Source organism: Homo sapiens, chromosome 14 (assembly GCF_000001405.40).
Source record: "Homo sapiens chromosome 14, GRCh38.p14 Primary Assembly".
In the NCBI taxonomy this organism is placed as follows: Eukaryota; Metazoa; Chordata; class Mammalia; order Primates; family Hominidae; genus Homo; species Homo sapiens.
The window spans coordinates 49625140-49639839 of NC_000014.9; the positions used below are offsets into that span (position 1 = coordinate 49625140).

General features: G+C 45.6%; 1 protein-coding gene across 3 annotated transcripts, besides 11 other annotated features; it reads right to left on the bottom strand.

Moving 5' to 3' along the window:
- On the bottom strand, positions 35-10105 carry DNAAF2 (dynein axonemal assembly factor 2). Of its 3 annotated transcripts, NM_018139.3 has the most exons (3): positions 8148-10105; positions 2873-3016; positions 35-909 (listed from the first exon to the last, which is right to left on the bottom strand). In NM_018139.3, exons 1-3 carry the CDS (start codon positions 10008-10010, stop codon positions 403-405), a joined length of 2514 nt encoding a protein of 837 aa, NP_060609.2. In that variant the 5' UTR covers positions 10011-10105; the 3' UTR covers positions 35-402. The 3 variants fall into 3 exon arrangements, with proteins under 3 accessions (NP_060609.2, NP_001077377.1, NP_001365382.1); NM_001083908.2 differs by lacking the exon at positions 2873-3016; NM_001378453.1 differs by lacking the exon at positions 2873-3016 and having other exon boundaries at positions 8344-8847.
- Positions 6509-6618: an enhancer, noted in NCBI's record as "active region_8318". NCBI's record gives its function as "activates an Ori minimal core promoter by ATAC-STARR-seq in GM12878 lymphoblastoid cells {active_cell/tissue: GM12878}" and the evidence as "EXISTENCE:reporter gene assay evidence [ECO:0000049][PMID:35858748]".
- Positions 7468-8228: an enhancer, noted in NCBI's record as "NANOG-H3K27ac-H3K4me1 hESC enhancer chr14:50099325-50100085 (GRCh37/hg19 assembly coordinates)". NCBI's record gives its function as "activates a minimal SCP1, AML or CMV promoter by ChIP-STARR-seq in primed H9 embryonic stem cells {active_cell/tissue: H9 hESC(primed)}" and the evidence as "EXISTENCE:reporter gene assay evidence [ECO:0000049][PMID:30033119]".
- Positions 7468-8256: a biological region, named in NCBI's record as "NANOG-H3K27ac-H3K4me1 hESC enhancer GRCh37_chr14:50099325-50100085".
- Positions 8047-8256: an enhancer, noted in NCBI's record as "active region_8319". NCBI's record gives its function as "activates an Ori minimal core promoter by ATAC-STARR-seq in GM12878 lymphoblastoid cells {active_cell/tissue: GM12878}" and the evidence as "EXISTENCE:reporter gene assay evidence [ECO:0000049][PMID:35858748]".
- Positions 8327-8386: an enhancer, noted in NCBI's record as "active region_8320". NCBI's record gives its function as "activates an Ori minimal core promoter by ATAC-STARR-seq in GM12878 lymphoblastoid cells {active_cell/tissue: GM12878}" and the evidence as "EXISTENCE:reporter gene assay evidence [ECO:0000049][PMID:35858748]".
- Positions 8667-8936: a silencer, noted in NCBI's record as "silent region_5699". NCBI's record gives its function as "represses an Ori minimal core promoter by ATAC-STARR-seq in GM12878 lymphoblastoid cells {active_cell/tissue: GM12878}" and the evidence as "EXISTENCE:reporter gene assay evidence [ECO:0000049][PMID:35858748]".
- Positions 8937-9176: an enhancer, noted in NCBI's record as "active region_8321". NCBI's record gives its function as "activates an Ori minimal core promoter by ATAC-STARR-seq in GM12878 lymphoblastoid cells {active_cell/tissue: GM12878}" and the evidence as "EXISTENCE:reporter gene assay evidence [ECO:0000049][PMID:35858748]".
- Positions 8937-9749: a biological region, named in NCBI's record as "NANOG-H3K27ac-H3K4me1 hESC enhancer GRCh37_chr14:50100846-50101606".
- Positions 8989-9749: an enhancer, noted in NCBI's record as "NANOG-H3K27ac-H3K4me1 hESC enhancer chr14:50100846-50101606 (GRCh37/hg19 assembly coordinates)". NCBI's record gives its function as "activates a minimal SCP1, AML or CMV promoter by ChIP-STARR-seq in naive H9 embryonic stem cells {active_cell/tissue: H9 hESC(naive)}" and the evidence as "EXISTENCE:reporter gene assay evidence [ECO:0000049][PMID:30033119]".
- Positions 9207-9446: a silencer, noted in NCBI's record as "silent region_5700". NCBI's record gives its function as "represses an Ori minimal core promoter by ATAC-STARR-seq in GM12878 lymphoblastoid cells {active_cell/tissue: GM12878}" and the evidence as "EXISTENCE:reporter gene assay evidence [ECO:0000049][PMID:35858748]".
- Positions 9677-9726: a silencer, noted in NCBI's record as "silent region_5701". NCBI's record gives its function as "represses an Ori minimal core promoter by ATAC-STARR-seq in GM12878 lymphoblastoid cells {active_cell/tissue: GM12878}" and the evidence as "EXISTENCE:reporter gene assay evidence [ECO:0000049][PMID:35858748]".

The following is a 14700-nucleotide window of genomic DNA, read 5'->3' on the forward strand; positions in this document are numbered from 1 at the left end:
CATTCTTGAGAATTACTTTGTGTGACAAACACAATTAGTGAATATTTTTAAATTTTATTAATGACAAAGCAAAATTTAACACAGAAGTATATATACATAGGTTGTATTAAAACTAAATGTTTTAACTCTCAAATGTTTTAACTCTCAAATAGAAAACATACACATCTATTACAGGAATCACAAAACTTATCTCCATAAGGAAACTTTAAACTCCAGAGGCAAAAAAAAAAAAATTATCTCCAATTTCCCCCATGAGAATCAAAATTGCAATTTTTTAAAAAAAATTGCAAATTTTAATTTTATACTTTAATACCTTTAGTTTTAAGACAACAGTTAACAGAATCAATTTTAGATACAGGTATTTTTTAACCTTAATATTTAAAAGTCCAAAATTATATAGAATTAATCCAAATCATATAGCAAAGAATTCTGAAAACTGAATGCACAATTGGTCACATGATCTTTAATGACCTGCACACTACCATCCTGCATATTGGTTTCTTTTATGCTGTCGAATCCAGGTATATTGTGAACCGTAGTTTTGTTCAGTAATGAAGATAGGTGATCTCCATCTGTTTCTTTCTCTTCAGTTATTACTGACTCGTTTAAGTTATCTTTTTCCTCATTTGAACAAGTAGCACTTTTTTCTTTTATAAATTCAGATTGCATTTTTGACTCAGGTTGCTGAGATTTTCCAAGTATCATTTGAGAAACATCAAGAGACTCTTGTTGAAAGCATGTAACTAAACCAAAGCTATCTATTTGTAGTGCTTTAACTGCTATAGATGAATCAGAATCAGTTGTAGGGGTGTTACAATGTTCTATATATTCCTTTTCAGTTAGATGACTTTCTTCATTTACTCTTTCCTCCTTTCCTTGTAGCTGATCAGAGTTACTACATTCTTGCAACTGTGTCAAGAGAAACAACAAATTAATAATTATTTTAAATAATACAAAATTAAATTGTACTACCCTCTGGAAATAAAATTTTTAACAGTTGTGAGGTAATAGCCCTTACAGACCTGCAGGTATACATCCAGGCTTTCCTGTCAAAATTCATCCTCCAGGCTGGGCACAGTGGCTCATGCCTGTAATCCCAGCACTTTGGGATGCCAAGGCAGGCAGATCACTTGAGGTCAGGAGTTCGAGACCAGCTTGGCCAACATGGCGAAACCCCATCTCTACTAAAAACACAAAAATTAGCCGGGTGTGGTGGAGCACACCTGATAATCCCCTCTACTTGAGAGGCTGAGGCAGAAGAATCACTTGAACCCGGGAGGTGGAGGTTGCACTGGGCCGAGATAGTGCCACTGTACTCCAGCCTGGGTGACAGGGTAAGACCCTGTCAAAAAAAGAAAAAGACAGGCAGCATTTGAAGGATGACTTTTTTTGTTTTGAGACGGAGTCTTGCTCTGTCGCCCAGGCTGGCACAATCTCAGCTGACTACAACCTCTGCCTCCAGGTTCAAACAATTCTGCCTCAGCCTCCCAAGTAGAGGGGATTACAGGCATGCACCACCACGCCCGGCTAATTTTTGTATTTTTAGTAGACACAGGGTTTCACCATGTTGCCCAGTCTGGTGTCGAACTCCTGACCTCAAATGATCCACAAAGTGCTGGGATTACAGGTATGAGCCATCACGACTAGTCTGCTGCCAGTCTTTTTTTTTTTTTTTTTTTTTTTTGAGATTGAGTCTGGCTCTGTCGCCCAGGCTGGAGTGCAGTGGCGCAATCTTGGCTTACTGCAATCTTTGCCTCCCAGATTCAAGCGATTCTCCTGCTTCAGCCTCCCAAGTAGCTGAGATTACAGGTGCCTGCCATGACGCCCGGCTAATTTTTATATTTTTAGTACAGACGGGGTTTCACTGTTGGCCAGGCTAGTCTCGAACTCCTGACCTCGGGTGATCCGCCTGCCTCGGTCTCCCAAAGTGCTGGGATTACAGGTGTGAGCCACTGCACCCAGCCTACTGCCAGTCATTTTTTAACAATGTAAACCTGGCACTAATATCCTGATTATATCCTTTCACAACAATAATCCATACTTTTCAACATGGTCTACAAAACTATTTAACAGTTATAAGCACATTGTTGAATTTCTTAAATTTTCTTGAATTCCTCTAATTTTTCAGAGCCGCCCTTCTAATACATATGTCTGTCGATTGTGGTAGTTACTAAATCATTTGCATCTTCAATACTGAAGACTATAAAAATGACCAAAATTAAGATTGAATTAGAAAGAACGTACAAATTGTATAACATAGTTCTCATGGTTTGAGAGTCAAAAAAGATTGTATGTCCCTGGACTAGTACTCAAACTTCCTAAGTGTTAGTTTCTCTTTGTTCCTCATTGTAGGGTTATTTTGGGATTAAATAATGTGAAAATGAATAGCAAAGTGTTTAGCACATAATACATACACAGACAAAAGGCTTTTCTTGGCTGGGCGCGGTGGCTCATGCCTGTAATCCTAGCACTTTGGGAGGCCGAGGCGGGTGGATCATGAGGTCAGGAGATCGAGACCATCCTGGCTAACACGGTGACACCCAATCTCTACTAAAAATACAAAAAATTAGCCAGGCATGGTAGCATGCTCCTGTAGTCCCAGCTACTTGGGAGGCTGAGGCAGGAGAATCGCTTGAACCCAGGAGGCGGAGGTTGCAGTGAGATGAGATCGCGCTACTGCACTTCAGCCTGGGTGACAGAGGGAGACTCCATCTCAAAAAAAAAAAAAAGAAAAACTTTTCTTCTCTTAACATCACTCTGCCCAACCATTATGTAAATTTTGTTTAAAGTTATGATATTAAGAAATCAATAATTTGTTAGGTTTTAACTCTGTGCTTCATTACTCCTCTATAGAGCCCATCAACTTCCTTACCTTTGCATTAATTTGAATCTTATTATCAGTAACTTGAAGAACTTCAATTAATGGTGGGGTCAAGGACATAGACTGTTTGAATGGAGAGCTCAGGACCTCTTCAAGAAACTCATTAACATTTTCTTCATTGACAAATAACCTTTCCTAAAATAAAAAGGGAAAAAATATTCTGCCTAATAAGTCCCACTTGACAACAGTTGTATCTCAAAGCAGCTCACAAAAATTCTCACATTGTTCAGGGTTACACTTTTTAAAATGTTTATTTTAATGTTATTCCTATGAGCTGTCTTAGAAAAATTTAAGTTTGGTATTGTACAGAGCAATAAGAGTTGTACTGAGAACAAACATAAACGTATAGAAAAAGAACCTAAAAGAAAGAGGTCTTGGTACTTTTTCTGTCTATTAAACCTGACCTTTTAGTATTTTTCTTTCTTTTTTTGTTTCTTTTGTTTTGTTTTTTTGAGACATAGTCTCACTCTGTTGCCCAGGCTGGAGTGCAGTGGTGCAATCTCGGCTCACTGCAACCTCCGCCTCCCAGGTTCAAGCAATTCTCCTGCCCCAGACTACCGAGTAGCTGGGATTACAGGCGACTGCCACCATGCCGGACTAATTTTTGTATTTTTGGTAGAGATGGGGTTTTACCATGTTGGCCAGACTGGTCTTGAACTCCTGACCTCAAGCTATCCACCTGCCCTGGCCTCCCAAAGGGCTGGGATTACAGGTGTGAGCAACCACAGCTGGCCTCTTTTAGTATTTCAGAAGAATAACATCATCTCTAGGGCTATAAATGGGATCCCAGATACAAAATATAATTCAGCTTTAAAACATTTCCTAATGAGGTGGCTAAGAAATATACATGAAAAGATCTATTCAAATTTTGTGTGACCTTTTAGTTCTTGGGCAGGTAAGAGCCAATTACAGTATTTTATTTCAAATAAGTGGTGTGTTTTTTTGTTTGATTTTGTTTTTGAGACAGAGTCTTGCTCTGTCTCCCAGGCTGGAGTGCAGTGGCATAATCACGGCTCGCTGCAGCCTTGACCTCCCAGGCTCAAGTGATCCTCCCGCCTCAGCCTCTACAGTAGCTGGGACCACAGAACATGCCACCACTCTCGGCTAAGTTTTGCATTTTTTTGTAGAGACAGGGTTTTGCCCTGTTGCACAGGCTGGCCTCAAACTTCTGCACTCAAGTGATCCACCTGCTTTGGCCTCCCAAAGTGCTGGGATTACAGGCGTGAGCCACCACCACACCCAGCCCCCGCCCCCCTTTTTTTCTTTTTTTTGCCTTGAGACAGGGTCTCACTTTGTTGCCCAGGCTGGAATGCAGTCGCACACTCATAGCCCCCTGCAGCCTTGACCTCCCTGGCTCAAGCAATCCTCCACCTGTGCCCCCAAGTGCCTGGGTACCTGGGACTACAGGTGCATGCCATAATGCCCAGCTAATTTTTACATTTTTGGGGCCTGGTGTGGCAGCTAACGCCTGTAATTCCAGCACTTTGGGAGGCCAAGGTGGGTGGATCACTTCAGGTCAGGAATTCGAGACCAGCCTGGCCAACATAGTGAAACCCTGTCTCTACTAAAACTGCAATCACGTGAACCCGTGAGGCGGAGATTGCAGTGAGTCCAGCCTGGGCGACAGAGTGAGACTCTGTCTCAAAAAAAAAAATTTGACATTTTTTGTAGATACAGGTCTCACTTTGTTGTCCAGGCTGGTCTCCAACTCCTGGATTCAAGCTGTCCTCCTACCTTGGCCTACCAAAGTGCTGGGATTACGGGCGTGAGCCACTGCACCCAGCCAAGTGTATTATATTTTTAAGCACTGGGATACTCCAGCGTAACATTAGCAAACTGTATAGTTATTAAAAGAATGAAGTAGAGAGCATATATTCAGGGCATTTTGAATCTATGCTCCAGAGAAAAAGTAAATTATGAAAAAAATTAGGCTGGGCACAGTGGCTCATGCTTATAATTCCAGCACTTTAGGAGGCCAAGGCAGGTGGATTGTTTGAGCCCAGAAGTTCGAGACCAGCCTAGGCAACATGGCAAAACTCATCTCTACAAAAAATACAAAAATTAGCCGGGAGTGGTAGCATGCACCTGTGGTCCTAGCTACTCCAGAGGCTAAGGTGGGATGATCGCTTGAGTCTGGGAGGTTGAGGCTGCAGTGAGCCATGATCGCACCACTGCACTCCAGCCTGGGTGAGACAGAGCGAGACTCTGTCTCCCAAATAAATAAATAAATAAATAAATAATGAGGTAGATTTCAAGATGCTGACATGAAAAGATTTCTAAACTATTACTAGAAAATGCAAAAATCACCTTTTACCTGAATCCCAAACACAAAGCAGTTTGTTCATGTCAAGTGAATACAGGTGTATAGTTAGGGTGTGGGGAGAATAACCATATTAACCATATTTTAAATTAATTTATAAAAGCAGTTCATTGTTGCCCCAAATAAAAATGTTTTCCTCTGTAGTTTTATATAAGCAAATTTTGTAATTACAAAATAAACACAGCTCATTATTTGGTCCAAATAGGTGGAAAATATCAGAAAGAAACAAGTTTCAAGTTTCTTGAACTTGGGAACATATATTCAGGGCAACTTGAATATGTGTTTCCCAGGTTGCAGTCCTCTATTTTGGCCCAAATAAACTCTCTCTCCACACACACACACACACACACACACACACACATAAACTCTCTACACACACACACACACACACAAACTCTCTACACACACACACACACTTTTTTTTTTTTTGAGAAAGAGTCTCACTCTGTCACCAGGCTGGAGTACAACTGCGTGATCTCAGCTCACTGCAACCTCCACCTCCCGGGTTCAAGCAATTCTCCTGCCTCAGCCTCCCAAGTAGCTGGGACTGCAGGCGTGCACCACCACGCCCAGCTAATTTTTGTATTTTTAGTAGAGACAGGGTTTCACCTTGTTGGCCAGGATGGTCTCAATCTCCTGACCTCGTGATCTGCCTGCTTCAGTCTCCCAAAGTTCCGGGGCTACAGGTGTGAGCCACCACGCCTGGCTACGTATTTTTCTTCCATTAAACAGTATTTAAAATCGTGAAAACCTACCAAACAAAAGTGAACCTTGGGAATAGAAAAATTTTACATTTAGAGTAACTGGCTTTGCTATTATTTGAAGATCCAGAATAACACAGTGTTACAGAAACATCCCCATCGAAAGCATTTCTAAGGTTCATGCCTCTGGGAAAAGACATCATCTTTGACTCCTTGCAAATAATACACCAAATATTTTAATTTTTAGTTATCCGAAGGAATATATAGTGGACATGGTTATGATTAAAATACAGAAGATTTGCAGCCGGGCGCGGTGGCTCATGCCTGTAATCCCAGCACTTTGGGAGGCCGAGGCGGGTGGATCACGAGGTCAGGAGATCAAGACCATCCTGGCTAACACGGTGAAACCCCATCTCTATTAAAAATACAAAAAATTAGCCTGGCGTGGTGGCAGGTGCCTGTAGGCCCAGCTACTCGGGAGGCTGAGGCAGGAGAATGGCGTGAACCCGGGAGGTGGAGCTTGCAGTGAGTGAGCCGCCCCACTGCACTCCAGTCTGGGCGACGGTGCAAGACTCCATCTCAAAAAACAACCAGAAGATTTGCATAAACTTGCCTTCTCAGTCTAATGACTGATTAAATGACTAATGAACTGAAAAAGTTACTGACCTCAGAGGCTCTGAAGATTTAGGAAAATTGTCAGTAAACACTGAAAACTTCAATACATATATTTAGTATTTATTTGTAAAGTTCTGACCTTGAAAGCCACATAACAGTCTCTTTATGATTATTTTCATGTAATGCATATAATATTATCATTATATATGTTCCACTACTCATGATTTTTTTCCAAAAATTTAACACTGAGAGCCTGGTCCAGTACAAAGTAAAGCAAAAGAGTTACATGCTGTTGTTCCATCAGCTTTAGAAAAATGTGATGATTAGTGAAGTAATTACAAATCTATTTCAGGCTTCAAAGATATAAAATACAGTTGCCCTAATCCCATTTTCGTCGTTTATTTTCTAAAATGTTAGCATACTTGAAAATCGGATTAAAATGTATTATTGAATATTTTCTTAATTGCTTGTCTACAAAGTTTTCTTCCCACATTGTGGGTTATTTTCATATTTACTAAAACTGTTACAGGAAAACAACTGCCCTTTCCTAAATGTCCCACTTCTGATGACAAAAACAGATACTCAGTTTCATATTTTATATTCTAACAAACTACCTTAGCTAGCCCAGCTATTTATTTTACCACTTTTGGAAGGTTTCCAATTAGCCACTTCTCATAGAGATACCCAACTCAAAAATTACACATGTAACTTCCTAGCAAATTTCTAGAAAAACGAGGGAAAAGTAAAATTTTCTCGTAAGTTAAAGCCCAAAGTCTAATACTTAATTTTTCTTTTTTTTTTTTTTTGATACAGAGTTTCGCTCTTGTTGCCCAGGCTGGAGTGCAGTAGCATGATATCGGCTCACTGCAACCTCCACCTCCTGCGTTCAAGTGATTCTCCTGCCTCAGCCTCCCAAGTAGCTGGGATTACGGGTGCCCGCCACCACGCCCAGCTAATTTTTGTATTTTTAATAGTGACGGGGTTTCGCCATGTTGGTCAGGCTGGTCTCAAAGTCCTGACCTCAGAAGATCCACCCGCCTTGGCCCCCCCAAAGTGCTGGGATTACAAGCGTGAGCCACCGCACCCAGCCAACTAATACTTAATTTTTAATATATAATCCGTGCAGCTAGTGTTGTTTCTCAACACTTAACTCTTGTTTATGTTAAAAGAGCTAAAAAAATTACATGTAACATTAACAAAAACCACCAATTGTCCATTTATGAGTTTAAAGAGTCTTCAGAACTTCAAATTTTAAGTTGTTTTTTTTTTTGTTTTTTGTTTTTGAGACGGAGTCTCCCTCTGTCGCCCAGGCTAGAGTGCAGTGGCGCGATCTTGGCTCACTGCAAGCTTCGCCTCCCGGGTTCAAGCGATTCTCCTGCCTCAGCCTCCCGAGCAGCTAGGACTACAGGCGCCCGCTACCATGCCCGGCTAATTTTTGCATTTTTAGTAGAGACGGGATTTCACCGTATTGGCCAGGCTGGTCTAGAACTCCTGACCTCGTGATCCGCCCGCCTCGGCCTCCCAAAATGCTGGGATTACAGGCGTGAGCCACCGCGCCCGGCCGGTAATAGCAAATTTTTAAAGTGAGATGGGATATTTCAAATATGAGGACTCTGGAAAGAACTGTTACCTCCAAAGAATCGTTGTTTACACCATAATACCACTCTCTCCAATGTCCATGGCTCTCTGGAGATTTTGCCAGTTCTATCACTGCATTGTTTGAAGAAATGCTAATCACAGGTTCTGTGGTACTCAATTTATTCTCTGGAGCAAATTGCAAAAAGAAGGAATAAACTAAGTCTTGTGCGGAGAAGCGTAATTTGTACCAGAGGGGATTCAAATCTCCTTGAAGACTTTGCGGCTGGATCCGAGGCACCTGAATGAGCAGAGTCAAGGTTTCTTTGTCCTGATTACACAGTAACGGAGGACACAAAGGCTCCCCGCTCTTGGTCCCGGGACCACCCATGGCGCAGGCTGAGCGCTGGCCGCCCGTGCCCTCCGACTCCTCGCGTGTTTCCACACTGCTATCTCCGCGCGCACTCTCTCTTCCCGCAGAAGAACCCCACGCCAGGCTCCGGGAGGACAAACAAGGGGAGCCTCCGCCACCAGGTGAGTTTTCTCCTCCAGGAGATGGCTCCTCCACGCTGCCCGGCGGTGACCCCGCGTGCCTGCTCAAGTCCTGCTCCCCCGGCTTGGGGACACGCTCCTCTCCAGCTGCGGCCGGCGGAGGCGCCACCTCCGGGTCGCCCAGGGTGGTGACCCCGGAGCCCGCAGCCCCAGCCACGCAGGTATCGTGGCCTCCGTCCTCCGCGCGACTCCTCGCGGGTCCCGCCTCCCCCTCGCGAGCGGAAGCGCAGGCCTGGCCGTCAGTTCCGGACCGGTCCGCGGACTCTTCCGGCGCGGCGGCGGCGACGGCGACAGCGGGCTCCCGGCGCGCGGCCGGCAGCACCACTGGCAGCGTAACCACCAGCTGCCGCCGGGCCTTGTTGAATTGTGCCTTGCCGCGGCCATCGTCCACTGGGTACGGGAGCGAGAGCCGCAGCCGGTAGTCAGGTTTCCTCGAGTCGAGGCACAGCAGCTTTCTCGTTACCTCCAGCGCCGCCTGCTCGGCCGAGCGCAACAGCGGCAGTTCGATGGTGATCACCAGCTCATGGGGCACGGGGCTCGGGGCTGAGTCCCTGGAGCAGCGGTAATCCTGGAGGTCCACGTGGTGGCGCTGCACCACGCTGTAGCGAGGCTCGGTGGGGGCGGGCTGCAAGGCCGCTTCCGGAGGGGAGGGCGCCCGGGGCCCGGGGGCTGCCGGGTACTGGTAAGGGTAGGGGAAGTCCGGGAGAGGACCCTTCGGCTCCCCGTCAGGCCTTGCGGGGATGACCCCGGGCAGGGGCGTGCGCAGCACCGCAGCCTCTGGGGTCCCCTTATACTTGGCCTTCAGGGTCTTGGCATTCCTGCGGTCCAGCTTCACGCCGAACTGCTTCTCGACGGCCTCCAGGGCCGTGGCGTCCAGCATCTGGCGGAAGCCCTCGTGCCGCCGGGCCAGCGCAAGCGCGTCTGGATGGAAGACCACGTCGTAGACCATGTAGCGGCTGCTGCTGCGCCCCGCGTACTCGCGGCCGGGCGCCAGGCTGTAGGGCAGGGACCAGTGGCTGCCAGGAGCTGCGCCCCGGTCGCCACCGGAGCCGGGCCGGCTGCTGGGCGCGCCCACCAACGCGTTGCTGCAGACATTCACAAAGCAGCGCCGCGCCCCGTCCAGGCTGGTGCGCAGCACATGGCCGGGCTCCGGGTGCACGAACCGCACTTCCACCCCGCGCTCACGCTCTAGCGCGGTGATCTCCGCCTCGTAGCGCCGCCGGTTCTCCGGGTCGGTGAGCTCCTCGGCGTACTGGGAGAACATTCGCCGGAACTCCGGGTCCTGGAAGGCGGAGGTGAGCCGCTGGACCTCCTCTCCGCTCAGGTCCAAGTCCTCCAGCGACGAGGAGGCCGCCGCTTTGGCCATACTGTCCTGTGGCTCCTCGCCCTCGGGCCAAAGGCGATCAGTCTGACACTGGGTTGGGGGATCCGCCTCAGAGTTTCTGGGCAGCGTACAGTGACGCGGTGGAGGTCGGTAACGGCTGGAAAATTGAGCCTTGAGCAGCGCGTGCTTGTTGTCATAGTTACACCACTAACATTCGGGAGGAGGGGTAGAGATCATGGTGGAATAGGCCGGGCGCGGTGGCTCAGGCCTGTAATCCCAGCACTTTGGGAAGCCTAGGCGGGCGGATCACGAGGTCAGGAGATCGAGACCATCCTGGCTAACACGGTGAAACCCCGTCTCTACTAAAAATACAAAAAATTAGCCGGGCATGGTGGCGGGTGCCTGTAGTCCCAGCTACTCGGAAGGCTGAGGCAGTAGAATGGGGTGAAACCCAGGAGGCAGAGCTCTTGCGGTGAGCCAAGATCGCGCCACTGCACTCCGGCCTGGGCGACAGAGCAAGTCTCTCAAGGAAATCATGGTGGAATAGTGGAAATGCCAGAAATAGCCCTCTTAGATTCTTCAAACCAACCCACCACCGTACTTTGTTTTGTTTTGTTTTGTTTTTCTTTTTTTGAGACAGAGTCTCGCTCTGTCACCCAGGCTGGAGTGCAGTGGCGCAGTTTCGGCTCACTGCAAGCTCCACCTCCCAGGTTCACGCCACTCTCCTGCCTCAGCCTCCCGAGCAGCTGGGACTACAGGCGCCTGCCACTACGCCCAGCTAATGTTTTGTATTTTTACTAGAGACAGGGTTTCACCGTGTTAGCCAGGATGGTCTCGATCTCCTGACTTCGTGATCCGCCCGCCTCGGCCTCCCAGAGTGCTGGGATTATAGGATTACAGGCATGAGCCACCACACCAGGTCCAAAACCTTTTTTTTTTTTTTTTTTTTTTTGAGGCTGTCTCACTCTGTCACCCAGGCTGGAGTGCAGTGGTGCAGTCTTGGCTCACTGCAACCTCCGCCTCCCGGGTTCAGGCAATTCTCCCTGCCTCAGCCTCCCAGGTAGCTGGGATTACAGTGACTCACCACCACGTCCGGCTAAGTTTTGTATTTTTAGTAGGGATGGGATTTCACCATGTTGGCCAGGCTGGTCTCCCACTCTTGACCTCATGTGATCTGCCCACCTCAGCCTCCCAAAGTGCTGGGATTACAGGCATGAGCCACCGCGCCCGGCCTAAAACCTTTCTAATGTGCATATTTTTTTGACCCAAATGCCCTTAGAGTATTTGACACAATACTCTTAGAACATTCTCAAGGTGACATCATTTATGATTCTAAAGGTTTGAGAAGAATCTACAAATTCAACAATGGAACTGATTGAGCAGGTTTTGGTAGAGCCACGCAACAGAGTTTTGTGCAACCATTCAAAATGATCATATGGAAGTATATTTATTTACTGGAGTAATTATTTATTCATTGGTAATTGGTCAATTCAGTGATCATTTTTCTATTCTCAGCAACATTTAACACAGTTGATGTTGGCATTACCTCAGTGACAAGACACTTTCCAGATTTCTCTTCTGTCTCATCACTCTCATAGTTTTGCTCTGTAGGTATCTACTTCTTTTCAACTTCTACATGGAAATGCCCCAAAACTGGGACCCAATCTCTTACCCATCTATACTCTCCTTCAGAAATATATTTACACTCACAAATACTTGTCTTAGACTCAGATTTTACACTCCTATATCCAGCTGCACGTTTGAGGTGTCCATTTGAGTGATTAATGCATAAGCTACTCAGGCTTGAAATGACCAAGATCAGAACTCCTGAATCCTCTTTTCCCAAACCACTGCCTTATCTTATGGTCTCTTGGAAGCATTCAAAGCAGTTGACTGCCCCTTCGAAACACATTTTTCTCATGTTTTGCAGAACTCCAAGCTCTCCCATTTTCCTCCTTTATGCTCCTGCCAGTTCTGCAAATGTGGGAGTTGCCCAAGGCTTTGTTCATCAGCCCTCTTACCTAATCACATTTCTTCCAAGATGTCTTATCCAAGCCCATAGTTTTAAATGCCATCTGTGTTCAAATTAGTCCTTTCAACAGATATTTATTGTGTGCTTATTGCACTTATTATATAGGTAATTAACAAAGATGTGAAGCAGTTGCATTGCTTTTTTTTTTGAGACAGAGTCTTGCTCTGTCGCCTAGACTGGGGTGCTTTGGCGCGATCTTGGCTCACTGCAACCTCCGCCTCCTGGGTTCAAACAATTCTCCTGCCTCAGCCTCCCAAGTAGCTGGGATTGCAGGCACCTACCACTGCGCCCAGCTAATTTTTGTATTTTTTAGTAGAGATGGGATTTCACCATGTTGGTCAGGCTGGTCTCCAACTCCTGAGCTCAGGTGATCCGCCCACCTCGGCTTCCCAAAGTGCTGGGATTACAGGCACAAGCCACCATGCCCAGCCAGCAATTGCACTTTCATATCCTGGGAGTATATATTGGAACACTGTTAACATAAGGCTTACGACAATGAAATTCTCCCAGATACACATTCAACAGAAACACATATCCCCACCAAAACACATGTACTACAATGTGTGTATTCATAGCGGCACTATTTCATAGTTGACAAATTCTGGAAGCAACCCAAATTCTCATTCATAGTAGAATGGATAAATGTAAATATCCACCCACACAATGCACTACTCAACAGTATAGATGAGTATCATTAACATAATGGTGCTTGAAAGAAACCAGATGTAAAATAATACATATGACTCTGTCATATAATAGACAAAACATGGCAAAATAAATCTGTTAAGCCAAGCTAGTGATGGCCATGTTGGGAGAGCTTCTGGGTGAGGGTCTGTTAATCTTGGTTACATTGGGTGTGCAATTTGTGAAATTCATTGTGCTGTACGCTGACAGTAGATTTTATGTATCTTATACTTTTAGAGTTAAAAAATGTACTTTTTTTTTTTTGAGACAGAGTCTCCCTTTGTTATCTAGGCTGCAGTGCAGTGGCACAATCTCAGCTCATTGCAACCTCCGCCTCCCAGGTTCAAGCAGTTCTCCTGCCTCAACCTCCCGAGTAGCTGGGATTACAGATGCCCACCACCACGCCCGGCTAATTTTTCTATTTTTAGTAGAGACGGGGTTTCGCCACGTTGGCCAGGCTGCTGTCAAACTCCTGACCTCAGGTGATCCACCCTCCTCGGCCTCCCAAAGTGCTGGGATTACAGGAATGAGCCACCTTGCCTAGCCTAAAAAAAAGAAAAAAAAAAAAAAAAAAAAAACTTTGCCCTCGTGGATCTCATCTGGGGTGAGACTAGTGACTCCAAAATGGTATCTCCAGTTCTACCTGACCACTGAGCTCCAAGAGACTCACATGCCACTGCCCCGCAGTTATCCACCTGGATGTTTGATGGGCATCTCACATTAACAATTCTACGTAGAAATCTTGATTTTTATATCTAACTTGTTCTGTCCCCAGTTGCACTAAATAATACCGCCTACCCAGCTACTTAAACCTAAAACATAAGCTGATTCCTCTTTCCCTCACCCTGCTGCCATTCAGTTACATAGTCCTGTTGTCTCTTCTTGTACACTCCAAATATATCCACTTCTATTTCTGCTCTGAGCCACCATCATCTCCATCGCAGACTTGTGCAATAGCTTCCAATCGGTCTCTTCAGCTCTTCCCTTCTGACAATCTCTTTTCCACACAGTTGCTTTAGTGATCTTTAAAATCAAATCAACTTACATCATTACCTGCTGAAAACCTAGTAACTTCATATCCAAGTTCCTTATGTGTGTCTACATTTAATCCCTAACACACTTCGTATTCACCATCTAGTTTTCTTCCCCAATCAGTCTAATGTCAGAATACTCTTGACTCCTGTGCAGCCTGGGCACAGGCCATCGAACCTCAAGACCTTAAATGATGTCACCTTAGTGACTCCCTGCAACATGCTTCTCCCACCTCCAACACCTCATATAAAATGGCCAGCATCGTTTTTTGTTGTTCTTGTTTTGAGATGGAGTTTCACTCTGTCACCCAGGCTGGAGTGCAGCAGCGCGATGGCGGCTCACTGCAACCTCTGCCTCCCGGGCTCAAGCAATTCTCTTGCCCCAGCCTCCAAGCAGCTGGGACTAAAGGCATGCATCACCATGACCAGCTAATTTTTGTGTGTGTGTGTTAGTAGCGATGGATTTTTCTCCATATTGGCCAGGCCGGTCTTGAACTCCTGACCTCAAGTGATCTGCCTGCCTCGGCCTCCCAAAGTGCTGGGATGACAGCCATGAGCCACCATGCTTGGCTTTTTTTTTTTAAACATGGTTTGCATTTGGTATTTTCTTGTTATAAGGTATGGCTCTCCCCATTTGAAAAGGTAAGCATCATGAAATCTAGGACCCTGCCTTTCTGGTTTACCACTGGATTCTCTGATGTCTAGAACATTACTGGGCAGGCAGATGAATGAATATAGTAAAGAAAAAAGCAAGTTTAGTATGTATAGTATGATCCCAAAATATTTTTATAGAGAAAAATCTGGAACCACATTTACCAAAATATTAACAATATTTCTGATAGTGGAATTGTAGATTGTTATAACTTTTTCGTTATGCTTGCTTACATTTTATAATTTTCTATGAACTTGTTTAGTAAAAAGTCTTAGAATACCCTACCGTTAGGTTTTAAAGCTTTGCATCTAAAATAGCTTTGAGATGAGTTCC

Bases quoted from the DNA above. Each gene is read 5' to 3' on its own strand.
- DNAAF2 (NM_018139.3), bottom strand. From the start codon at position 10,010: ATGGCCAAAGCGGCGGCCTCCTCGTCGCTGGAGGACTTGGACCTGAGC. The intron at 3,017-8,147 runs GTAACAGTTCTT...TTTTTATTTTAG, and splicing joins TAAACAACGATTCTTTGGAG to GAAAGGTTATTTGTCAATGA. The intron at 910-2,872 runs GTAAGGAAGTTG...CTCTTGACACAG, and splicing joins AGATTCAAATTAATGCAAAG to TTGCAAGAATGTAGTAACTC.